Source organism: Homo sapiens, chromosome 1 (genome assembly GCF_000001405.40).
Source record: "Homo sapiens chromosome 1, GRCh38.p14 Primary Assembly".
Taxonomy (NCBI): domain Eukaryota; kingdom Metazoa; phylum Chordata; class Mammalia; order Primates; family Hominidae; genus Homo; species Homo sapiens.
In genome coordinates, this window is record NC_000001.11 from 216,338,159 (window position 1) to 216,365,924 (window position 27,766).

The window sequence follows — 27,766 nt, forward strand, 5'->3', positions numbered from 1 at the left end:
AAAATTCATTTGGAGGAGTAAGACCTAACAATAGCTGAAGAAGGCTGGTAAGAAGGAATCCACTGCAAGATATCAAAAGATAATCAAGTGCTATAGCTTTTGGCAAGAAGTTAATCAAATTGACCTCTGAAACAAGATGTTAAACACACTACCATCAAATTGGAGCTTGAGATACAGTAGAGGTGGCTTTAAAAATCAGTGAGGAAATAATGTGTGTTCAATAAAAATCAGTGGGACAAGAATGTGCCAATAAAGATAAGTTAAAATTAAATCTCTACCTCACACATTATACAAAAATTAATTTCAGAAAAAATAGAAGGCAATATATATCATGATAAAAGAGAATTTCTTAAGTAAGATATAAAACTATCTGAACCATAAAAAGTAACTGATATATTCGCCAATGTTAAAATTTAAAACTCTTGTGTGACAGACCAAAAATACAAAAAATTTTAAAAGTCAAACCACTGAAGGAAATATTTTTACAATCAATATAATTAAAACATGTAAAATGCAGATTATAAGTGTAACTTTTACTGACAAGGAAATGCAATGGAAAATTTAATGAAAGATATACCAGAACAAGCAATTCACAGAGGCGAAAACTCAAATGCCATATGTTTCAATATTTTAATAGTTACTAAAGAAATTAAAATTAAAACGAAAATAAGGGAGTATTTTATACTCATGATTTTGGCAAAAATGTTGGAAAACAAAACATGTTGATAACACAGGCAAATGGGTATTTTACCTGTTGCCATAGGAAGGCAAATTGGTTCAACCACTTTAGATAACAGTTTGGCGATATATCAAAATGGAAGATAAGAATACTTAAGAAGCCTATGATACCTTTCACTGTGCTTTTTCTGTGCAAATTCTCACAAATGCACACAAGGAGACATACAAAATATTAATTGCAATCTTCTATAAATTATATAAAGAGAAAAGCTAACTCTCCACATGGAAACAAATACATAATCCATACTTTTTTTTATAAAGTGGAATACTAATAGAGAAACTAAAATGAATGAACAAAATATCAAAATGGGTAATTCTCAGAAAAATTATTTATGAAAAAGGCAAATTGAAGATATACTCTGTATTTTTATATATGTGCATATATATATATGAGCACTTACATAAATACTAACAACATAAAGATAACAGCATGTGTTATATTATTTTGAGATACTTACATATTGAACTATTTGAAATAGCCAATGTTTGACCATTTTTAATCTATAAGAATGGCAATTGTATATTTTTCAATCTAATAATAAAAGTATAAGAACACACATGATAATGATAAATGTAAATGCAGAATGTGGGAGGAGGTTGTTGATGAATTTTTTTGTTTAAACATACTTTGAAATTTCAAAGCCATAAATGTCTATTACCTGGAAAAATCACTGATATTTTAAAAAGTTATTAGTAAACACTCCTCAGCAAATGCAAAAGAACTGAAATTATAACAGTTTCTCAGACCACAATGCAATCAAATTAGAGTTAAGATTAAAAAACTCACTCAAAACCACACAACTACATGGAAATTGAACAACCTACTCCTGAACGACTCCTGGGTAAATAATGAAATTAAAGCAGACATCAAGAAGTTCTTTGAAACTAATGAGAGCAAAGAAACAACATACCAGAATCTCTGGAACACAGCTAAGGCAGTGTTAAGAGGGAAATTTATAGCACTAAATACCCATATCAGAAAGCTAGAAAGATCTCGAATTGACACTCTAGTGTCACAATTAAAAGAACTAGAGAAGCAAGAGCAAACAAATAAAAAAATCTAGGAAAAGACAAGAAACAACTAAGATCAGAGCAGAACTGAAGGAGAGAGAGACACGAAAAACCCTTCAAAAAATCAATGAATCCAGGAGCTGTTTTTTTTGAAAACAAACAAACAAACAAACAAAATAGACTGCTAGCTAGACTAATAAAGAAGAAAAGAGAGAAGAATCAAATAGACACATAAAAAATGACAAAGGGGATAACACCACTGACCCCACAGAAATACAAACTACCATCAGAGAATAGTATAGATACCTCTACACAAATAAACTAGAAAATCTAGAAGAAATGGATAAATTCCTGGACACATAAACCTTCCCAAGGCTAAACCAGGAAAAGTCGAATCCCTGAATAGACGAATAATGAGTTCTGAAATTGAGGCAGTAATTAATAGCCTACCAACCAAAAAAAGCACAGGACTAGACAGATTCACAGCTGAATTCTACCAGAGGTACAAAGAGGAGCTGGTACCATTCCTTTTGAAACTATTCCAAAAAATTGAAAACGAGGAATTCCTCCCTAACTCATTTTATGAGGCCAGCATCATCCTGATACAAAAAACCTGGCAGAGACATGACAAAAAAAAAAAAAAGAAGGAAAACTTCAGGCCAACATCCCTGATGAACACTAATACGAAAATCCTCAATAAAATACTGACAAACCAAATCCAGCAGCATATCCTTATCCACCACGACCAAGCTGGCTTCATCCCTGGGATGCAAGGGTGGTTCAACATACACAATCAATAAACGTAATCTATCACATAAACAGAACCAATGACAAAATCACGTGATCATCTCGATAGATGTAGAAAAGGGCTTCAATAAAATTCAACACCCCTTCTTGTTAAAACTCTCAATAAACTAGGTATTGATGGAACATATCTCAAAATAATAAGAGCTATTTATGACAAACCCACAGCCAATATTATACTGAATGGGCAAAAGCTGGAAGCATTCCCTTTGAAAACTGGCACAAGACAAGGATCCCTTCTTTCATCATTCCTATTCAAGATAGTATTGGAAGTTCTGGCCAGGGCAATCAGGCAAGAGAAAGAAATAAAGGGTATTCAAACAGGAAGAGAGGAAGTCAAATTGTCTCTGTTTGCAGGCGACATGATTCTATATTTAGAAAACGCCATTGTTTCAGCCCCAAAATTCCTTAAGCTGATAAACGACTTCAGCAAAGTCTCAGGATACAAAATCAATGTGCAAAGATCACAAGCATTTCTATACACCAAAAATAGACAAGCAGAGAACCAAATCATGAATGAACTCCCATTCACAATTGCTACAAAGAGAGTAAAATACCTAGGAATACAGCTAACAAGGGACGTGAAGGAGCTCCTCAAGGAGAACTACAAACCACTGCTCAAGGAAATAAGAGAAGAAATAAACAAATGGAAAAACATTCCATCGTCATGGATAGGAAGAATCAATAACATGAAAATGGCCACACCACGCAAAGTAATTTATAGATTCAGTCCTATTCCCATCAAACTACCATTGACTTTCTTCACAGAATTAGAAAAAACTAATTTAAATTTCATATGGAAATAACAAAGAGTCCATATAGCCAAGACAATCCTAAGCAAAAAGAACGTAGCTGGAGGCATCATGCTACCTGTCTTCAAACTATACTACAAGTCTACAGTAACCAAAACAGCATGGTACTGGTACCAAAACAGACATATAGACCAATGGAACAGGTCAGAGACCTCAGAAATAACACCACACTTCTACAACCATCTGATCTTTGACAAGCTGTACAAAAACAAGCAATGGGGAAAAGATTCCCTATTTTATAAATGGTGCTGGGAAAACTGGCTAGCCTTATGCAGAATACTGAAACTGGAACCTTTCCTTACACCTTACACAAAAATTGACTCAAGATGGATTAAAGACTTAATTGCAAAACCCAAAATCATTAAAACCCTAGAAGAAAACCTAGGCGATACCATTCAGGACATAGGCATAGGCAAAGATTTCATGTCAAAAATGCCAAAAGCAATTGCAACAAAAGCAAAAATTGCCAAATGGGATCTAATTAAACTAAAGAGCTTTTGTACAACAGAAGAAACTATCATCAGGGTGAGTAGGCAACCTACAGAATGGGAGAAAATTTTCGCAACCCATCCACCTGACAAAGGTCTAATATCCAGAATCTGCAAGGAACTTAAACAAATGTACAAGAAGAAAACAACCCCATCAAAAAGTGGGCAAAGGATATGAACAGACACTTCTCAAAAGAAGACATTAATGCAGTCAACAAACATTTTTAAAAAGCTTAACATCACTGATCATTAGAGAAATGCAAATCAAAACCATGAGATACTATCTCATTTCAGTCAGAGTGGCAATTATTAAAAAGTCAAGAAACAACACGCTAGTGAGACTGTGGAGAAACAGGAACACTTTTACACTGTTGGTGGGAATGTAAATTAGTTGAACCATTATGGAAAACAGTGTGGTGATTCCCCAAAGACCCAGAACCAGAAATACTATTTGACCCAGCAATCCCATTAATGGGCATATACCCAAAGGAATATAAATTATTCTACTAGAAAGACACATGCACACATATGTTTACTGCAGCACTATTTACAATAGCAAAGACATGGAACCAACCCAAATTCTCATCAATGATAGACTGGATAAAGAGAATGTGGTATATATACACCAAGGAAAACTATGCAGCCATAAAAAGGAATAAGATCATGTCTTTTGCAGAAACTCTGATGAAGCTGGAAGCCATCATCCTTAGCAAACTAACACAGAAACAGAAAACCAAACACCACATGTTCTCACTCATAAATGGGAGCTGAACAATGAGAACACATGGACGAAGGGAGGGGAACAATACACACCAGGGCCTTTCAGGTGTGGGGAGGGGAGAGAGAGCATCAGGACAAACAGTTAAGGCATGTGGGGCTTAAAACCTAGATGACAGGTTGATAGGTGCAGCAAATCACCATGGCACGCATATACCTATGTAACAAACTTTCACGTTATGCACAAGTATCCCAGAACTTAAAGTGAAATAAAATTTTTTTTAAGTTATTATAAATGCTAAACTCAATAAATGGAAATAAAAACAAATCAAGTTATTAAGACTAGCTGTGTCCTTGAAAACTAAAACAAATTTAAATTACAACTAGAAGTAAAGTAATAATTGGCATAGATGCTTATAAATAGATATAGCTGCCCACAGATTATACAGAACTAAAGATAATTTCTTGTTAAATTTTTAGAAAAAATTCTAATATGATATCAAAGTAATAATCCTCATTATTTTCAAAACAACAAAGCTTAAAAGACTAGCTGGGCTTGATGGTTCATGCCTATGCTTTGGGTGGCTGAGGTAGGAGGATTGCTTCAAACTGGACTGGACAACATAGTAAGAACCATCTCTACAAAAAAAAAAAAAAAAAAATTAGCCAGGCATGGTGGTGTGCACCTGTACTCCCAGCTATGCAGTAGGCTATGACAGGAGGATTACTTGAGACTGCACTAGGATACGATCATGCCACTGCACTCCAGCCTGGGCGACAAAGCAATACTACATCTTAAAAAAAAAAAAAAAAGACAGTATTTTGACAATACCATTAATAGATTTATATATGTAAAAAAACAAATTCTCAATGTGGTACCATAAAAAAATAGATCTGTGTCCATTCAACCAAAATATGATAACAGCCTTTCATTATTTCTATTAAGAACTCAAATTGAAATTAAAATTAAAATTATGCATCATGGGGTCAGGTTAATTATCTGATCTCTGTTTAGTGTGACACTAAGAATATTTTATTTTGTAACAAAATGAAAATCAAATAATGAAATCTAAGTTTTTAAATATGATGTCTCTAGAATGAAGAACCAAAGCAGTTTATTTGTTTTTAATGCTCACTGCAGTAAGGGTTTTATGCCAAAAAATTACCATATGTTTTCTGCTTTTATTATCATTGTTAAGATTTTTAGACATTGGGGGTGCTGCTCTACACGGAGTAGCCATTCTTTATTCCTTTACTTTCTTAATAAACTTGGTTTCACTTTACTCTATGGACTCACCTTGAATTCTTTCTTGAGTGAGAAAGAATTTTTTAAGATGTTCTTAGATACATATTTTAGGATTTTTATTGCTGATTACAGATTTAAAACTATGAAATGTGCATTGCTTGGCAAGTAACACAAGTAATTCTTTACTTATGCACATTTCCAATAAAAGCTTAAAGAAACAGACAAAAAATATAAAGGACAAGAGAAAGACGAATGGCAATAGCTTCAAAACAAAAGGATTTAGTAACAGAAAGAGTCTCCACAGCTAGTGTCTGTCAAAATTTAAGATTATCCAAACTGCAAATGCTCAACTCAAATCAACATCATACACTGAACTATTAATACTTGTTCCTTGAAGTTGCAAACAAGAAGCCACCACATACATGTATGGTCACACAAACCACCTAATTTGCTCAAGGTTCAGCTTAAAGCAACATTTAATATCCTTTACAAGATGGAATTTTTGACAAGTTCAAAAGGAAAACTTGCTTTGTTTTAATGTATCTCTTGGGGTCTGGATCTGGACCTCTTTCTGGTAACATCTTTCTGGTGAACCATGGAAGGGACAACACGGAGGAGACTCCCCTGACCCAAAGGAAATAGACTTCAGCACTTATTGGCTGACTCTGGGTAAGTGGGGTACATTTGCTTGGGTAAAGGATGGAAATGGGTTAGAGGCCTAATTTAGGGGCGTTAGAGTCTCTCTTAAGACAGAGGTGGTTAAAGGCCCCTCTTAATAAAAGACAAGGACACTTGACAGAACATGGATTCAAGGCCCAACTTAAGAAGGTTAGAGTCCTTCCTAAGATTTAGGGGGTTTCAGGCCCCTCTCAGTAAAGTCCCTCTCAGCTAATAATGGGTTTGGCAATACGAGATATTAACTGCTATTCTCGTTGGGTTAATCTGCCTTGCCCTCTTTGCTGATGGCTGTGGGTGACATAATTAGGCATGCATGTGAATGTGGGACTTGGGGAGCTTTTTCCTCCCAAAAGGGGGATGTTTGAGAGCTAATGGGACTACTGGAAAAGATCCCTTCATGACAGATCCCTTCAAGCGGCAGCCTGAACTTTTGCGCAATGGGAGGGTCTTTCTCTGGTATCCTTGATTATTTTGCCTTCCCCACCCTGCTGTATGCAGCCAATGCTTTTCTTTCTTTCTCTCCTTTCCCTTTCTTACCTTTTCTCTTACTCAGGGTGACCATCTTGCCCAGAGACCACATGTTGAAACTTCTGGTCAGAGGTTGGATTAATGATGACAGGGTCCAACCAGGGGCAAATTTGAGCCTTGTTAGTTTGATATTGGATGCTGAGCAGAGTGGCTAATGTCTATGTCACACATATTTTGCTCTGGCCAGGACAGAAAAAAAGACAATTTTCCTTTGTGTTGCAGCTTGGCCCCCAGGGCTATGATGCGTCAAGCTGGGTCACTAGGACTGCTCAGGGAAAGGGAACCCAGAAGCCTGGCATGCCAGCAAAAGGGTAAGAATTTCTTACCAGTGAGACTTCTGTCCTCTCTCTTTCTCTCTGTGCAAACTAGTTCAAAGAATGGTAAAAATCACTGTTTATCTCCTCTGTAAAGTTCTGATTAATGTGAAAAAGGATTTGTGAGGCTAGTTTTAAGCTACAGTGAATCTGTTGTACTTTGCACTGTGAATTTGTCTTCCTGTATATTTCTGTTAGAAAGAGGGGTACCTTAGGATAGAACACAAGCTTAGGACCCCATAAGCCTACTGTTCAAGACGGCCCAGCAAACTGGCTAGTTATGTCCTTGGGAGCTTGACCTTGTGACCACATGGCGGTACTTTCTCTAGGTCTCTACCATCCAGAAAACAGGAATTTGGGGGTTCATGTCATAGTTAGCTCTACAAAATTATCTTGAGCATTTAAAACCTTTGCAAGCTCAAAATCTGCTGCTCTAGACTCCTTCTGGGAAGAGCAATGGAAACTGCCCAGTGAGTAGCTCAGTAGCTGAGGCTTTCTTTTCACAATGGTGACCCAGGTTCAGGGTTCAATTCCCAGCTTAGGGAATGAGTCCTTTCTGGTTTGATATGCGCATGAACATTTGTTGATTCTCTTCCCCTCAATGGTCTGTCTTGAATTTTCCTTTCTCTGAACACCTGGGAGGTTACCTTTGATAAAGTTCAAAAGCCAGAATTATTGACAGTTTCGCCTGGCTAAAGTCAGGTAATAAGAAATTTAAGAGGACTTTTTAAAAACAGCAGTACCATTAAAAGTCAGCTTAATTAAAAGCAGATATTTAAGTTCTAACAGCCTGGGACTCCTTGGGAAAAAAAGGAGCACCACAGACCCCATTTTGAGAAAAAACATCTGTTTTCCTCATGAAATCCCAGGAATTGGAAATGGATAGATCCCTCTCAAAATCTAAGGCTGTCTTGTGTTTCGCATTGCGTTATCTGATGTTTTTTACTTTTGGGGGTATCAGAAATCACTTTACATTAGGAAAGAGCTTTGGTATGCAATAACTAGGTAGGAAATACACTTTTGAGAATGGCTAATGGCAGTTATGGAATACTTGGCTCTTTGCACATTTGGATCAGAGAAGCATGCTCTTGGTCACTTAGAAGTTATGGAAATGCCCCCACTCCCCACTGAGAGGTAAGACTCCCATGGGAGATGGGCTAATTCCCTCTTTTTGGGATCCAGAATCTGCTATTAAAATGGAACCCTTAATTCCTGAAGATCTAGTTTGCCTTCCAGCTGTGCCTGCTTATTAGGCTTTAGAAATTTCACGCATTCTTGGCTCTGTTCCTCTAAGGCTCCACCCTGAAGCCAGTAATCCAGTTAAGAAACCGAAAAATGAAAAATCTTACTGGATCTTTTTCTGTCTGTGTATTTATATGTGCTGCATATGTGATATAAAAGAGCTTTGATTAATCGGTTTAAAAATAATAAGTGTCTAAATCAAATATTTTGTCAGAAAAGTAAAAAGTGTAATCACTTTTAGTTCATGTGACTTTAGGAATGTTTGGGAAATAAAAACAGCTTTAAAAATTATTGATAAAATAAAGACATTTGGTCTAAATTAGGCAGGTCACATATTAAGTTTACTAAATGCTTTAAGGTCAGAAACTGCTTCTTTGACTTTTGAAAATTGTTCAATTTACCTACTTTGGAGACTTTAGATTCTAGATAAGGCCTGGGGACATGTGGAATTAGCCATATTCCCAACTATGCAAAGAGGTTGTTTCTAAAAAAGAAATTTTATATAGGAAAGGAAAGAAAAGAGACAGATGGTTTGGAGATCTAAGTCTTCCCTCTATTAATGAGTAAAGGTTTTTCCCCTTTAAATATTTTTGAGTTATTATTTTGGCCTAATGAATGACTTATGATGACCTGGAATTATATTTTGTGATATCCAGTGTTTTAAACCTTTAATATTTGACAAGCTTTCCAAAATAAAATTACAAAGTATGTCTTCTTCTGACCTAATTAATCTCTTAGCTATTAGGTGGCCTAAAGTCCAAAATGGCATATTCAGGTTATTTGGTATAAATATCATACAGGAAGCATAGAAAAATATGAAATGGTCTTTGCTTTCTTTGGACTGTATTTGTAAAAATATGTTATTGGTTTGTGTTCCAAAATTATGGGAAAGTCCTGTAATTCTGATATGACTTAGTGTACATTATCAGTAATAGTTATAATTGTCAGTAAAATCATTGTATGTCACAGAACTAACCAAAATTTCTTTATCAATTGTGGCTTTAATATATGTCGTTCTAAAACTTTTTGTCATCCATAGAAAATTGTTGACCTGTTTTAATCCTCTTTAAAAAGTAAGTTTAGAGTCAGCTATAGGATTTTGACAGGTGCTCTTGAATGCACGTTTCTAATAACTTTGAAGATTGTGACATTAGAAGAGAGGATAAAACTTTCAGTACTGATGGAGAGCTGAAATGTTCATGAATATCAAGCTGAACAAGAGTTAACTGCATGGGCTGAATAATAGATAGCTGAAGTAATCTTTTAAAACTTTTTGCTTAAAATGTTGCTGATCCTTTGTTTTGCTATCAGAGCCAAGGCAACTTTTCTTTTAAGCTATTTACAGCTTTTTAACAATTGAGTAAATTTTACTCCTGTAAACAAAATTTGGGGCATATTTGATTCTACCTAATTTCTTCAGAATTTAGAAACTATTTGTGAGTATTCTTAACTTATGACAATAGATATTTGCATAAGTGCAATAAGCATCTGTTTTATTTTGTAACAGGACACAATTGGAAAAATTTGTTATTTTACCAAGACTTTCACTGGAATGGTGTGCTTTCCTTTAAGGAATCAATCTTGACTTATAAAGCCAATAAAAACCCCTTGGGAAAACTGGTCACATTCTTTGTTTACACATGCCCTGTACAGGGTTCCTGACCTGTGATAAGTAAAGAATGTCACTTTCTGATAGACTCAGGGGCCCGAAGATATCTTAGGACCTCAAGAGTAAAGGAATTAACCCAACTCATAGGTATTTGATTGTACAAACCCAGGGCTGGGCTCAGCTTTAAAAAGGTCTTATCTGAGATTCCTTTTTATGGAACAAAGTTCCATCAAAGCCAATTTTAAAATCCTATGTGAAAAATAGTTATTTTTTAGCATTTTATACAAGTAATCAGGCCAAGTATAAGACTAAAGCTCATTTTTGCGCACAAATCGATTCTATTATAATTTGTCTTTAGTAAAAATGAGAGACTGAAAAGAAAAAGAATTGCTTCAAAAACTATGGTACACCTGTTATTAGATTCTAGTCTCATTAGTTGTGTTTAAGGTTTTTTTTCTGTAATTTAGACAGACTCTGCTTATTTCTGTGTACCACCAAGTGATCTCTGACTACTATTCAAAAAAAACCAAAATGAATGGGCAATGTCAAAATCTGGATCAATATTCTAATTCTGGGCACATACTGGGATTTACTAGCAACCACATATTAGCTTGGTTCTAACAATTGCCCAGTTCATGGAAAGTCTTCTAATTTAGTTTAGTTGTGATAATTTTATTTATTTTGCTTTACTGCTGCGGAATGTATTGCTGTTATACTCTTTGTGTAGGATAAGCTTACCGAATGTTTTCTTAAATTAAATACTTATTAATCTTCCAGGTATCAACTTTTGTCAGAACTCAAGTATTCTGAATGGACCTTGACATACCAGCATTTTCTGATTGAGTTCCTCTCTATCCCAAAGACAAGAGACCCTAATTGTTAGGCAGGAATATCATCACCCCTATTCAGCTTGAAGAAGTTAGAGAAGATGGATCTTCATCCCTCTACAACTCTTAAGATTAAGAGCTTTCTTTTAAAAAGGAGGGGGTAATTGTCAGGGGCTTTTGAACCAGAGCAACTCCATCTTGAATAGGGGCTCCGTAAAATAAGGCTGAGGCCTACTGGGCTGCATTCTCAAGAGGGTAAGTCATCCTAAGTCACAGGATGAGATAGGAGGTTGGCTCAAGACACAGGTCATAAAGACCTTGCTGATAAAACAGATTGCAGTAAAGAAGCCAGCTAAAACCCACGAAAACCAATACGGCAATAAGAGTGACCTCTGGTTGTCCTCACTGATACTCTCCCATCAGTACCATGACAGTTTACAAATGCCATGTCAACATCAGGAAGTTACCGTATATGGCCTAAAACAGGGAGGGATCCTCAATTCTGGGAATTGCCCACCCCTTTCAGGGAAAACTAACAAACAACCCACCCCTTATTCAGCATATAATCAAGAAAAAACCATAAAAATGGGCAACCAGCAGTCCTTGGGGCTGCTCTGCCTATGGAGTAGCCATTTTTTATTCCTTTACTGTCTTAATATACTTGCTTTTAATTTTTTTAAAAAAGATTTTTAGACATCAGTAACAAAGGATAATGTATTAGTCTATTCTTGCTTTGCTATAAAGAAATACCTGAGGCTGGGTAATTTAGAAAGAAAAGAGGGTTAGTTGACTCATAGTTCTGCATGCTTTACAGGAAGGATAGTGCTAATATCTGTTTGGCTTCTGGAGAGGCCTCAGGAAGCCCACAATAATGGCAGAAGGTGAAGGAGAAGCAGGTACATCACATGTGGAAAGCAGGAGCAAAGTGGGAGGAGGTGCCACACACTTTAAAATAACCAGATCTTGTGATAACTCATTCACTATCACAATAAATCATTCATGAAAAATCCACCTCCAGAATCCAATCATCTCCCACCAGGTATCACCTCCACCCTGGGGATTACAACTGAACATGCATGGGGACACAGATCCAAACCATGTCATTCTGCCTCTGGCCCCTCCCAAATTTCATGTCATTTTCATGTTGCAAAATACAATTATCCCTTCCCAACAGTCTCCCAAAGTCTTAACTCATTCCAGCATTAACTCCAAAGTCCAAAGTCTCATCTGAGACAAGGCAATTCCCTTCTACCTATGAGCCTGTAAAATCAAAACCCAGTTATTTACCTCCAAAGTATAATTCAGATACAAGCATTGAGTAAATATTTCCATTCCAAACGGGATAAATCAGCCAAACAAAAGAGGCTACAGCCCCCATGCAAGTCTGAAACCCAAAAGGGCAGTCATCAAATTTTAGTGCTCCAAAATAATCTCCTTTGACTCCACGTCTCATATCCAGGGCACATTGGTGGGAGGAGTGAGCTCCCAAGGCCTTGGGAAGCTCTACCCCTCTGACTTTGCAGGGCTTAGCTCCAGTGGCTGCTCTCATATGCTGGCACTGAGTGCCTGCAGTTTTTCCTTGCTGAGGGTGAAAGCTGCCAGTGGCTACCATTCTGGGTTCTGGAGTATGGTGGCCCTCTTCTCACAGTTCCACAAGGCAATGTCCTAGAGGGGACTCAGTGGAGACTGCAACACCACATTTCCCCTTTTCGCTGCCCTAATAGAGGTTCTAGGGCCATGAGGGTTATGCCCCTGCAGCAGGCCACTGCCTGGACACCCAGGCTTTTCTGTACATCCTCTGAAATCTAGGCAGAGGCTCCCAAGCTTCAATTCTTGCATTCCACACACCCACAGGCTTAATGCTGCATGGAAGCTGCCCATCGATTCATTTACTTGGAAAATATGTATTGAGTAGCTACCATGTGATAGGCAATCTTCTGGATCCTGGGGTATATCAGTGAGTAATGCAAATAAAAAAAATCTTGCTTTCTCTTTTATATTATAGAGGGAAAAACAGATATATTCAACAAAAATAAGTCAATTCTATAATACATTAAAGATGCTAAGTGCTATGGAAAAGAATAGAGCAACATAATGAGACCCAAAGTGGGGAGGTGGTGTTTGCAGATGTAAACGGGGTGATAAGAAAGATGTATTTAAGAAACTGGTATTGAGCAGACCTAATCAGGTAAGGGAGTCAGCCTGATGGATATCAGGAGGTGAAAAGTTCCAGGTTGAAAGAACAGCGAATGGTATCAAGGCAGAAGTGCACCTCCCATAGTCAAAAATCGGCAAAGAGGCCAATTTGTGTAAAACAAGGAGAACAAAATAAACAAATGTAAGAAATAAAGCCAGAGAAGTAACTGCTGTTAGCTCAGTTAGGTCTTGTAGGTTATAGTAAGAATGGTGGTTTTCACTCTGGTAAAATGGAGAAACAATAGAGCATTTTGAGCAGAGAAGTAATATGCTTGACTGATATTTAACAGAACAATTATGGCTGCTGTGTTGAGAATAAAGCGGAGTGCCTGGAAGTAGTTAAAAGACAATGCAGTAATCCCGGCAAAGCAGCAACCATGAATTGGACTGGGATGATTCTAGTGGAAGTGCTAAGAAGGATTCAAAATCTGGATATATTTTGATTCTAACACCAACAAGATTTTGCAAAACAAAAAAAAAAATGTTGAACATGAGATAAAGAGAATTGACAAGGATGACTCCAAATCTTTTTCTCTGTCTTAGTGGAAAAATGAAATTGCCTTCACTTGTGATGAGGAAGACCATGGAAGAAGTAGTATATGGATCAAAGTGAGAGAGCTTAAGAAAACCAGTTCCATTTTGAAAAAAAGTAAGTTTAATTTTGAAATGTAAATTAAACATTCAAATGGAGACTTTGGGTAGTTTGATACATGTAACAGAGTCGTCTGGAGTTCAGGAAAGAGGCTGGGGTGGGGAGATTTATATTTGGAGGTCAAGTCACTTAGATGACATTTAAAGCTATAAGACTGGAGGTGATCTTTAAGGGAGTGAGTGTCTGTAGACACGGGAGCAGAGCTAAGTCTTAAGGCTTGGGGTACCAATACTAAGAGGTCAAGTAGATGAAGAGGAACCAGTAAATCAAACTGAGACGCAGCAACTAGAAACTCAGAGAGATGATGGAGTGTTAGATGCCAAGTGAAGAACGTATACCAAGGAGGAAGGAGCGATCAACTCCATTAAATGATGTTAATAGGTCAAAAAGATAAAGACTTGAAATTAACTATTAGATTTATAATGTGAAGGTGAGTAGAGATTTGACAAGTGTAGCTTAAGTGCAGTGGTGAGCTAAAGTCTGACTGTAGATGGTGGAATTTGAAAAGAGGAATTAAAGGCTCCTATGGTTGAATATACTTTGGTGAAGTTTTGCTAAAAGGAGAGCAAATAAATAAGACAATGGCTAGTAGAAGAAATGGGGGAGGGTCAAGAATAATTTTTCATGGAAAAATAACAACATGCCTTTATTCCCTTGAAAATGTTCCATTAATACAAGAAAATTTTACAATACAGCAGTAAATTGGGGAAAAATGAGGCAAGATATTCTTGGTCAGATCTATTAATAGGTGGTATGCCAGTGGTGGATAAATATAGCAGTGGAAATCTATAGAAGCTCTTTTATTCTTTTTGTTAATTTTTATGGTAAAGTTGGAGGTAATATAATCACTGAGGATCAGGATAATGAGAAAGGAAAATGTATAAATAGTTGGCATAAGACAGGAAAGTGAATGAATGAGGGAAATATGGAATGATCACAGGGCAGCATCAGGAAACATAGGAAGTTCATGGTCATGAGTTTAAGGTGGGAAGAGTCGTCCTCTTTGGGTATATTTAACCTATGCTGTGGTAGTGCCAAGATCATAGTAGAAGTGAAGAAAAAACGGCAGGGAAGTCCAGTTCCATGAAAAGAAGTGGTTATAATAACTGGCCATGAAACTTAAGTTGAGTAAGGAGGGAACAGACCACATCAAAAAGTGAGAGATAGTGGAAAGTCGTTAAATCATTTGAAGATCCCGGGAGGGATGAGGAATTTTTGGACTCAGGGTATAAGGGGTATACACTAATCAATATGATTATGTATCTGACAGAAAAAGAAACACAAGAGATGCATGTGCTATACAAACTGAACAAACAGAGCCGCTGGGGGCACCGAGATTAAACGATGCCACATGATCATTAGTGAAACAAGATCCAATGGCTAGATTTATAAAAAAACATGTTTCAGTTTTAAATATTAGCAGTAAACAGATTTCAGGCAAACCAAAGAAACAGATATAAAAGTTAAGAGTCAGGGATAAATTAGGGCCCACAAAAGCTGAAAATCCCCATGAAAAATTAGAGGAGGTAATTAAAACGTCGATGCCTGAATTCTACCAAAATAATCTTTGGGGCCAAGTAATATGCACCTTTTTTGTTCAGAGTCAGTGACCAGCCATAGCTGAAACAATCTAGAGGGTTGGAGAGTTAAGTATAGACAGAGTTGTGCCAAAGAAAAAAAGGGGTATAAATTAGATGTTGTTATAATAGTTCAACATCTGCTTTAAATGTAAAAAGTTGTAAGGGACCATCACTTTGCTGTCAATCTAACAACCAAAACAAGCCAGATAAGCCCTAAAGTCATTATTTTTTAACCAATCAAAATGTAGAGCGCACAGAAAAAACTAAATGAATTAAATTCTAGAAAGTAATAAGCCTTTTGTAGGAAACACAAACATTTACTGGACATGTAACTCATTGGACGAGACCCAGGGCTACTCCCATACTTAGCTCAGAGGTAAGAAATAGAGGATTCAGGCATAGAAGGAGTAAGAAAGAAGCAGCCATACAGAGGCCAGAATGACATATTAGAATTCTAAGGAGGCCCCACCAGACATGTGTCTAACTATTTTCAATTCTATCCACAGATATCTGAAACCAGTAGTGAGCTAAATAATATTAAAACTGTAGTAAAGCCCACGTACAGATCAACTTCAAGTCAGTTTGGTATTTTTTCTTTCCTACTGCCCACCCCCATTCAAAAGGTCTCATAGAACCAGCAGTGCTCTTCTTTGTAAAGGGAAAAACGCCAAAAAATATGATTTACTTCCACCTCTTTCATTCTTTTACGCAAAGTGTTTATCATACAATAAAAATATTTAAGACACATGAGAAATCAACACAATGTGGCCCTTTGTAAAGAGAGGAAAGAGTCAATAGAAGGAGATGCAGACATGGCCCAGATGTTGGAATTATCAAATAGGGATTTGAAAATACCTATAATATAAATGCTAAAAGATCTAGGGGTGATAGTGAATAATACATGCAAATAGATGGGTGAATTTGAGCCAATAGATGAAGTCTACAAAACGGCCAAATGAAAATACTTGAAATGAAAAGTATAATTTAGAAATCAACAGTTTGCTAGATGGGCTTAGCAGCAGCCTAGACACAAAAGAGAAATTGACCAGTGAAATAAAGACAAGTCAAATAGAAAGTATCCAAACTGAAACACAAAAAAGAGTGGGGAAAATGAAAACAAAGGAACAAACAAAACTGTACCCAATATCTATGGGACAATATCTAGTGCTCTAACATCAATCTAACTAGAGTCTTATTACAGAAGAAAGAAAAGGAAGCAAAAAAAGGAAAAAAAGAAAGAAAAGTTTGAAGATACAACTATCAGAACTTCCAAATGTAATGAAAACACCAACGTACATATCCAAGAATTTAAGCAAACCTCAAGCAGGACAAATATAATGAAAATCATTCCTAGGCATATCATAAACTGATAACATGAAAGATAAAAATAAAATCTTAACAGCATCAAGTGGAAAACAATATATAGGCCAGGCATGGTGGCTCACACTTGTAATCCCAGCACTTTGGGAGGCTGAGGAGGGTGGATCATCTGAGGTCAGGAGTTCGAGACCAGCCTGGCCAACATGGTGAAACACGGTCTCTACTGAAAATACAAAAATTGGCATGGTGGCATACACCTGTAATCTCAGCTACTCGGGAGGCTGAGGCATGAGAATTACTTGAACCCAGGAGGCAGATGTTGCAGTGAGCCAAGATCGCACCACTGCACTCCAGCCTGGGTTGACAGAGTGAAAGACTCTGCTTCAAAAAGAAAGAAAGAAAGAAAGAAAGAAAGAAAGAAAGAAAGAAAGAAAGAAAGAAAGAAAGAAAGAAAGAAGGAAAGAAACATATAGTATACAAGAAAACATTTATATAAATAGTGGCTGATATCTCACCAGAAACAATGAAGGCAAGAAGACAAGGAAACAACATCTTTAAAGTTCTAAAAGAAGTAACAGTAATCAATGTAGAATTCTATATCAAATGAAAATATCCTGCAAAAGTAAAGACATTTTTACACAAGCTGAGAGAATTTGCTTCAGCAGGCTGAGCTACAAGCAATGAAAAGGGAGGTTCTTCGGATTAAGAAGAAATAGCATCAGGTGGAAGTGAGGATGAACAGGAAACATTGAAGAACACTAGAAAGGACAGATCTTTAAAAAGAGAGAGAAATTATTTTGTGGGGTTTACATAGACAAAACACAGAATTTTAAAATATCTGCTACATAATGAATCTAAACTGGACTTTTTTTCTCCCTCACCCTAAGTAAATTTTGATTTTCAGCCAAAAAAAATTAAATATGGTCATGGCCATTATGTTAAAATTTTAAGTATCACAGTCAATAAACTTAATAACTAAATTAACAATAATATTTATGATAGCGAAATTTTATTGAATACCTAACATGAATCAAACATGTGTTATTTATAAGCTCTCTGATCACCCTGAAAAGTATGTGTATAAAACACATTTTATAAATGAGAAAACATATTAGGAAATTGGATTGAGAAGTTATATTCTTTGCCAAAGTCACTTGGCTGTTAAGAAGCAGAACTAGCATTCAAACCCAAATCTGTCTGATTCTAAATCTCATGCTTTGCTTCTCAGGCACAAATTATTATAGTAATAATAATTGTATGTACAATGAGTTAAATGTCCAATGAACGCTTGTGTTTCCTGAATCCATGTGACAAGTACAGAATTTAAATGACTAACATTTTCAAGACCACCCTCTGTACTATACAAATTAGGTGTCTCTGGCTGAACTTGTTACATTCATAGAATAAATCTATTCTGAAAATGCTTCCATTTATTATTTTGTCCAAAATTGGAAAATATTTTTAATTCTTATTATAAAATTATAGTTTACTGAAAAAAATTGCACAAAAAGAAATTTAAAAAGCAATTATTTGCAATCCCACTCATAGAGATTAACATTACTAACATTCTGAAGAACATTTTGGCATATTTCCTTCCAGAACTTTAATATGTATATGTATGTTTATAACATATACATTAAATTTATAGAATTTTGTACTATACAATCTTGTTTGTTTCATGTAATAACACATCATGAACCCATTGCCATGTACATAGAAAGAGACATATTTCATTCCTCTTGATGGTGTATACTATTCCACAGTAGGCATGAATTATAATTTATTAAATCAATTCCTTTTTGAAGTTTTTAACTGATTCCAGTTATTTGTTACTTTAAATCATTCTACAATGAACATTTTGAGTATGTATTTAAGTCTTTGTCTAATTATATTCTCGAGATAGTGTCCTGGAAGTAGAAATCTTGGATTAAGTAGTTTTCGCATTTTTACTTTTGATAGTTTGCCAGGTTACCCCAAACTATTTCCAACACCGGTATAATCGCTTTTCTAGTCCTTGCCAAACTATCAAGTACAAAATGATAATCGTTGTTTGAATTTTAAATTCCCAGTTTAATAGTCAGATGTTTCAATATTTTCCTTTAGTGTTTCTGGACATGGTATCGTGCTAATAAAGGTCCTTAATATGCTAGAATTATAGAAACACTTGCCTTCATTTTCCTCTACTACCTTATGATTGCATATTTTGCATTCAAATTTTAATTAATCAGCAGTTTTTACTTAGTATGGTTGAGAGAGCTACATTAACATCATTTTAAATATACAACATAACTTGTCTGATAATATTGCTAGATACCTTGTCTGCAATGTTCTGAAACTAAGTAAACTCCTATCTATATACTATATTCCTATACTCTTCTTCCATTCCAATCTCTTAGTCAATTTCAATACTTTCTAAGCTTTTTTTAAATCTAATTCCCAAAAATAATTCTCTCTGAAAAAAATTAGCATGATTTCAGCTGAACTAAAATGGAGTTTGTGTATCTAGCAGAGGTTAGAAATGTGAACCCATGGGAAACTGGTAGAAATTAGAAGTAGCATTCCAACTTTAGAATCAAGTACAAGCATATGGGCTAAGACACACAACGTTGAAAACACAGAAAGGAAGGCAAGTAGGAGTTAGCTTTAGACGATGATCCTTTTCTTCCCTGCATATTCACTTTAACAGACACTCAACAAATATTTATTGATTCCTTAATGACCAATGATCTTCTTAAGAAAGTGCTATGCACATTTGAATGTATAATGTAGAAATTCTCACCTTTAATCGGCAACTAGAACTCTGTTGATAAACAAGTTCAGAAATAACTGGGAAAAGTTTTGATTCATGTAGTTCTGTAATTTTAAATCCAAAATTTGGAGAGCTAGTATGGTTTATTACCACGATGACATTGCTGACTCCTCATAACTACATATCTGCTAACACAAGTGCTCCAGGTTATATACCCAATTGGAAGCACTAAAATAAATCTACAACTAAAAGAAAATGTTCTAAAAAGGAGCCATCACACTTTGGTTGATATAGATGGTCTAAGGTGTTTCTATTTGTATACATAAAATTCAGCCTGATCAAATCAGATTATACCATTAATAAGGATAAATGAGGGTTCAGTAAAAAGCATGCATTTGGTCCATTGATTACTTTTCCAGGGAAAGCAAAGACAAGTCCTGCAGTAACAGAAAGTGTCACTGGCAACACATTTTTCTAGAGAGTTATGCTAGAGATAAGACTCAAAGAAAAAGCTCTGTAGTAGCCAACACTCATATGGAAGGTTGTTACTTTCTGGGTGCAGAAACAGAGAACCAAGTCAAACCTAATCAGAGAAAGACAGAAAAGATCCATCTTGATCTGCTATAGGCCTTCATTTGATGTGCTTGTGTTTGAGGCAGTGTCTGTTCCAAAGCAGAGACAGCCGGCCTGGCACTGCATGAGAGCACCTTTAATTCAGCTCAGTAATCGCTTGCACAATTACCTCTTTTGAAAGAAACCATCTTGGATATGGACAAAAGTATGGAGGACAGTGACTTAATTTTTTGATTAAAAAAAGGAGCAAGTAAGAGAAAGAAAATGATTTATAATAAGTCCATAGGAACATTCTGTACCTATCTCTTTTCTGATTAGAGAGGTGGCATGGAGCCTGGCTCATTAGGCAGAAGTAATGAGCCAGTCTATACGCCATCTCTAATTAGAGAAAAGATACAGTAGGTACGACTGTACATATAAATTGATAGAATAAAGATAAAAATTATTTAAAATATCCTTTTCCTTCTGTAGCTCTCAGATGTCAAGAACATAAAGGAGAAAGTTGTAATGAAAACTAAATAATATTTGAAATAAACCGGTTTCCTGTTACATGTTTTCTAATCAGGAGTGAAATTTATTTCTACACAGTTTAAAAATATCATCTTCAGTTCACACTGTTCTTTTGAAGCATTAATCCAACATTTAGTATACTGAAGTAGAATAGAAGCAAGCCATTTTAACCCTGCAGTGCATAGGGGACTAATTTATGGCGCTATCAAATACTTTGAGCAACATTTGGTGCAATAAAACACTTTTAGAAGTACTAATGGGGATTAAATATTGAAATAAGGCTCACAAGATTTAATGTGTTATTTAAAAATTCTTCACGCAGAGTATTTTATAAGATTATGCATTATACTAATTACTCAAACCAAGTTCCTAAATATATAAGTTCCTTAAAATATTGCTTCTTCACATGAGTTTAGCTTGATCTAAGAGCATACACAAACTAAAGTAATACGGTCTTCATATTTTCTCTTTTGATTGGTACAACAATCATATGGAAATATAGTGTTATCCCTATCTTATTGTTTCACAATAAGAAAATTGATGTTCAAAGAGTTTAAAAATAGTTACCACTTAATGCACATTTACTATACAACAAGCAACTTATATTCTAAACATACATCATCTCACATAATTCTTATAAGATTCCTATGAATTATATATTAAACCACCATTTAATAGATTAGAAACCAGACTTAAAGAGAGTTAATATTTTGATCAAAGAAGCACACCTGGGTTATATTTAAACCAGAGCTTGGCAATTTAACCACAGTGTTTTGAATATCAAAAATATATACCTTCTTTTTTAAAACTAGACATTGGTCTAATAACTCAGGTCATACAGAAAAACAAAATAACATTTTATATTATTTCAGAATTAATAAGTGCATCAGACAAAAATATCTACAGGAGATATTTATGGCATGTCCATTATATACATTTATTACAAACATTCAAAAAGAGTTGAGTTCCTGATATGTGCAAATGATAGGATTGTGTACCTATCATAATAATGAGTTTGGCAAGGTCACTAAACATAGGTAAATATAAAAACTGATTAGATTTTAATGCAATAGTAACAAAATTAGCAAATGAAGTTCAAAAACAATACTAAGTATAATTGCATGAAAACCAACAGGCCAAAAAGCCAGAACACTGACAATACCAAATGCTGGTGAGGATGTGGGGCAACAGGGACTCTCTTTCATTGCTGATAGGAATGTAAAACGATATAGTCATTTTGGAAGACAATTTTACAGTTTCTTACAAAACTAAACATATCTTACCATACGATCCAGTAATTGCGCTCTTTGGTATTTATAAGTTGAAAACTTATGTTCACACAAAAACCTACACACTGATGTTTATAGCAACTTTACTCATAATTGCCAAAACTTGGAAGCAACCAAGATGTCCTTCAGTAGGTGAATGAATAAATCAACTATGCTATATCTAACCATGGAATATTATTTAGTACTAAGAAGATATGAACCACCAAGCCATGAAAGACATGGAGAAATCTTACATGCATATTACTCAGTGAAACAAGCCAATCTGAGGATACATGATTTTTTTATCCCAACTATATGATATTCTAGAAAAGGTGAAAATACAGAGACAGTGAAAAGATCAGTGATTGCTAGGGGTTAGGATAGAGATAAGGATGAATATGAGGAACATAGAAGATTTTTAGGGAGTGAAGCTACTCTGTAGGATACTGGAGTAGTGGATACTTGTCGTTGTACAACACCAAGAGTGAACTTTAATGTAAACTATGGACTGTGGGTGATAATGATGTGTCAATGTAGGTTCATCAATTGTAACAAATATACCATATACCGCTCTGGTGAGGGATATTGACAATGGGGAAGGCTGTGCGTGTGTAGGAGCAGAGAGTATACTGGAACTCTCTATACTTTCCACTCAATTTTTCTGTGACTCTAAAATTGCTCTAAAAAAATAGTCTATTAAGAAGGAAAACCAATGAATATGTTTGAACAAGTCTAACAAATAGGAGTGAGACCTCTATACAGACAACTAAAAACATTGCTGGGAGAAATCAAGGAATATATTACATTTATGGGCTGGATACTTGATATTGTTCAGATGCCCATTCTCCTAAATACAAATGAGTAATTTAAATCTCAACAGAATTTTTTATGAAAATTGAAAAACTGTTTCTAAAATTCATATATAATAGCCAAGGCAATCTTAAAAGAAAAAAAGTTGGAGAACTACTAGATATGAAGACATGTATGAAGTTACAGTAATTAAAACTAAATATTTTGGCCCAAGTATAGACAGACAGACAGATCACTGGGGCAGAATAGAAAGTTCAGAAAGAAACCCATCTTCACATATACAGAGACCTGATTCACGACAACGTTACCACTGCAGAATGGTAGAAACATTGATTTGTTTCAAGAGGCAAGGTTTTCTAGGTTAATTACACATTCAGGTGGGACAAAAATTTTGACCCCTACCTTATATAACCTCAAAAAATCTATTCCAGATAGAACATAGACCAAAATTTGAAAAGTAAAATAATAAAGCTTCCTGAATAAACTGTAGGAGGATATCTTCGTGATATCAGGGTTTGCAAAAATAGTCTAAACAGAACACAAAAAGTATTAAGTATAAAACAATGACTAAATTAGACTCATTAAAATTAAGAAGATCTGCTTATCGACAAATACCATCAAGAGAATGTGACTGTAAGCCTTAGCCCAGAAGACCATATTTGCTATCATGTATTTGTCAAAGAACTCATATTCAAAATATGGAAGACCTCCTATAAATTATTAAGAAAAATACAAACTGTCCAATTAAAACTTGGCAAAAGGCTTCCCAAAAAAGCATATTCATTTGGCAAATAAGCACATGAAAAGATCTCAGTATCACTAATGATCAGGAAATGCACTACATGGCTACAAGAATGGCAAAGAATGATAACATCTGGCAAAACTAACAGTTGATAAGGATGTGGAACAACTGAAATCCTCAAATGTTGCTTGTTGGGACACCCACTTTGGAAAACTTTACAGAATTATTTGCTAAAGCTAAAGATATAACTGCATACACTATGGAAAAATCTCATTGGCATAGTGCTAAGCAAAAAGAACACAAAAGAGTACCTACTTCATGATTTTATTTGTATGATAGTTTGAGAACAGGCAACATTAATCTATGGTTATAGAGGGCTACATTGATGCTATTCTGTTTTTATCTTTACAGTGGATGTTCATTAGGGGACTCTGAGATTCTGGAAATATTCTACGACTTTTTTTAAATGAGAGTTACACAGGTGTATATAAATATTAAAAACTCATCAAGCTATACCTTTTATATTTATGCACTATCTTGCATACATGTTTTATTTTGCTTAAATATTAAAGGATTACTTTAAAATATCTAGACCACAAAGTTCATAAGCCATCAAAAAACTGAAGAAAACTTATACAACATAATATTCTTAACATAAATGAGTTTTTATAAATAAATAAGGAATTATAGAGTATAAATATGGACACATTGTATGAATAAGGAATTCATAAATGAAATGCAAATGATCAAGACATACGTAAAAAGCTACTCAAACTCATTAATGGCCAAATAATTCTGAGTCAGCATTCAACAATATTTTTCACTTAGAGGAATGTCAAGGGTGAAAAAAAAGTGGATAATTTGTAAGGATAGTTAGTGTTTAAGGAAACAAGTACTTGGCTATATATTTTAATGAGGTTATAAATTTTCACAACCTTTCTGGAGGTAGCCCATTGTTATGCATTAGAGCAATCTCTGTAATATGTATTAAAATATAAAATGACCATATACTTCAACCCAGCCATTCAACTTCTATGAATTTATTTTTTGGAAATAATTATAATAACATTAATAATAGTATTATTTACGGCAGGGTGCGGTGGCTCACGCCTGTAATCCCAGCACTTTGAGAGGCCAAGGTGGGTGGATCACCTGAGGCCAGGAGTTCGAGACCAGCCTGGCCAACATGGTGAAACCCCATCTCTACTAAAAATACAAAAGTTAGGCGTGGTGGTGCACATCTGTAATCCCAGCTACTCAGGAGGCTGAGGCAGGAGAATCACTTGAACCCAGGAGACAGAGGTTGCAGAGAGCCGAGATTGCACCACTGCACTCCAGCCTGGGCGACAAGAGCGAAACTCCCTGTCAAAAAAAAATAATAATAAAATAATAATATTATTATTATTTACTGATATAGTTTAGTAATTTTTTTCAATATATAGCATATATGTTATCTTCTTAAACTACATGGCCAATTTTTAGTGTGCGAAAATATAAACCACATAGTCCAGTTAATTATATGTTAATATTATTTCTCAGTTTTCATCTAATACTGTACAGTCCTACTTTAACAATGCTGTACATTAAAATCCAGCCCCATGCCCAAGAAAGAGAAAATATAGTTTATATACAGGCATTGTGCTTAGCACTTCATCCATTCATTCATTTAACAAATAAATATTGAATATCTAATACATGCCAGGTGCTTGAAACACAGTAATGTTTTACATGACATTGCTTCATTTGATCCTTACATTGGCCCTATGGGAAATCAATATTATGATCATCATCATCATCATTTTAAAGTTGGGGTGACTACACTTTAGAGATATTAAAATATCTTGCCAGGCCATATAGCTAGTAAGTGAGGAAATGGGATATGAATTCACGCAGGTTGGCACCAAATAGGATATTAAGGAACTGTGCAATCAGGCAACTGCTCAAATACATATGTACGTATGTATACATCTATGTATATGATTGATAGATTGATGGTTGATATATATAAATGGAAATGTAGATATAGACACAGATATATAAATATATGTGGATATATATATAATATTTTCCATAAAATAACTGCTAATTGCACTGAAACATTAAAAAAACCTAAATGTTCATTATAGGAGCTTAAGAAATCTCATGGATTGCAACTATACAATTGCATAGAATACAGCCATTTTAAATGAGAACATATATCTAAATGAGAAGATACATTGACATGAAACGTTGTTTATAACATTTGAAGGAGAAGTATTTATTTTTAGAAGGCTCAGAGGAAGCATATGTATTGTAATTTTATTTTTGGAAAAATGTATTTATAACTATATCTCTAGCTAAAAATGTACTAAAAATCTGTAGGAGTATAAAAAAGTTAAATTATATCTATCTCTGAAGATAGAAATATGGAAAATACTTTCTATTTCACAGAGTTCCATATTGTTTAGATTTTTTTATAATGAGCATATATTATATAATAATATAAAATACTATTTTTATTTTAATATGCAGGCATTTTAAAGACCACTGTACTAGATATTTCAAGATAATTTCTTATTTCAACTTCTGGTTTTATTCAATATATAGTATATGATATCTTCTTAAACTATATGGCCCATTTTTAATGTAGTAAATGTAAACATCAGTCCAGTTAATTACATGTCAATACTATTTCTCAGGTTCCATCTAATACTTCGTAGTTCTACTTTAACAATTCTCTACATGAAAATGCAAACCCCTCAGAAAAGAGACAGAAAGGAAATATAGTTTATTACACATTGAAATTACTTAAAAACTGATCAGAATAAAGAAGTTTATATTTGAAAGCTTCCCAAATGTAGTAAGTTATATAGTAGATCCCAAAAGATCTATTATCCATCTGGAACCTGTAACTATGACTTTAATTTGGAAAAAGGGTCTTTGCAAGTATAATTAAGTTAAGGAACTCAGGGTGAGATCCTCCTGACTGTGAGTGGGCCCTAAATCCAATGACAAGTGTCCTTATAACAGAGGTAAAGGGGAGAAGATTCAGAGGAGAAGGCCACATGAAGACTGAGGCAAGATTGCAGTTAGGAAGCAGCAAGTAAAGGAACACTAAGGATTGCCAGTAGCTACCACGAAGAGAGACATGGAATAGATTTGCCCTCAGAGCCTCCAGAAGGAACCAACACCACTGAACCCTTAATTTCTGACTTCCAGCTTCCAAAACTGTGAAAAAATAAATTTTACTTTCATTAATCTGCCATCCAGTTGGTGGTAATTTGTTCAGTAGCCCTAGAAGATGAATACACGTAGATATTTTAAAATATTATTTGTTTGATGCATTTTTAAGAACAATGTAATTGGATGAAATAAATAACATTCTGAAGTCAGAAACTTACCATTTAAACTCTGTCCTATTTGCACAGTACCAGATGCAAAATCTGTAATTGAACCACTTAGAGTTCTTGCATTGAAAGGTGTATGATCCTTCTCCACGCCATTGATAAAGAAGCTGATTTTTGTCTGATGCACCTGTAAGAAATTACCACCATTATTAGTTTAAGTGCATAAACTTTTATTTTATATTAAACACATTTCAGCAGTTTTTATTAAGTAACTTTCTTTCTTCTTTACTTTGTTCAGCTGGGAAGACTGAAAACATTATTTTAATAGCTCAGTGATATCTCCATGTGTTTATCTAGATATAAACCTATATAGTGTCATTTTGTGCTGTGATGATATCTCCCAGGGTGTTCACAGGTATACATAATAGTTTGTCCCATACATGTAACAGCTCTGGTTGCCATGTTTTACAGGGTTTTTGAGGATATGTTACTTCTTTAAATACAAATTAAATTTGTTATGGCTATATTTGGAAATAGAGCAAAATGAGTACAAGGGAAAGAAATAATTAAAACCAGATATAACAACAAAGAATTGCATGTGGATATAATTCAAGTTACTAGGATCAAATATTTCTTGAATTTACTGTCTTGGGTATTGGTATCCGGTTGGTGATTTTCAGATATACTTTTCCAATGTAGGGTAACAAAAAGTTGCCAATCATATTCTAGACTAATCAATCAAGCAAGTAGCCTAATAACTGCACATATTAGGGATTAGCAATTTTTTTTTTCTGTAAATAGCTAGAGAATGTTTTTTTCTCTGCAAGTCAAATGGTTTGGTTTTATGGGCCAAATGGTTACTGTCACAACTGCCCAACTCTAATGCTGTAATGCAAAAGCATCCACAGACAATATATAAACAAATGGGCATGGCTGTGTCCAAATAAAACTTTATTTATAAAAACAGGTGGCCAGCCAATTTGACCCACAGGTTGTAGCTTGATAACTCTTGGATTACATGATTAA

At 34.9% G+C, this 27,766-nt stretch overlaps 1 protein-coding gene across 2 annotated transcripts in view; it reads right to left on the reverse strand.

The window, feature by feature from the left end:
* USH2A (usherin) overlaps positions 1-27,766 on the reverse strand; it is an 800,558-nt gene that overhangs the window by 715,268 nt on the left and 57,524 nt on the right. For both annotated transcript variants that reach the window (NM_206933.4, NM_007123.6), the window contains exon 4: positions 26,795-26,927. In NM_206933.4, coding sequence (NP_996816.3) covers positions 26,795-26,927 — 133 coding nt within the window. The remainder of the gene's footprint in view (positions 1-26,794; positions 26,928-27,766) is intronic.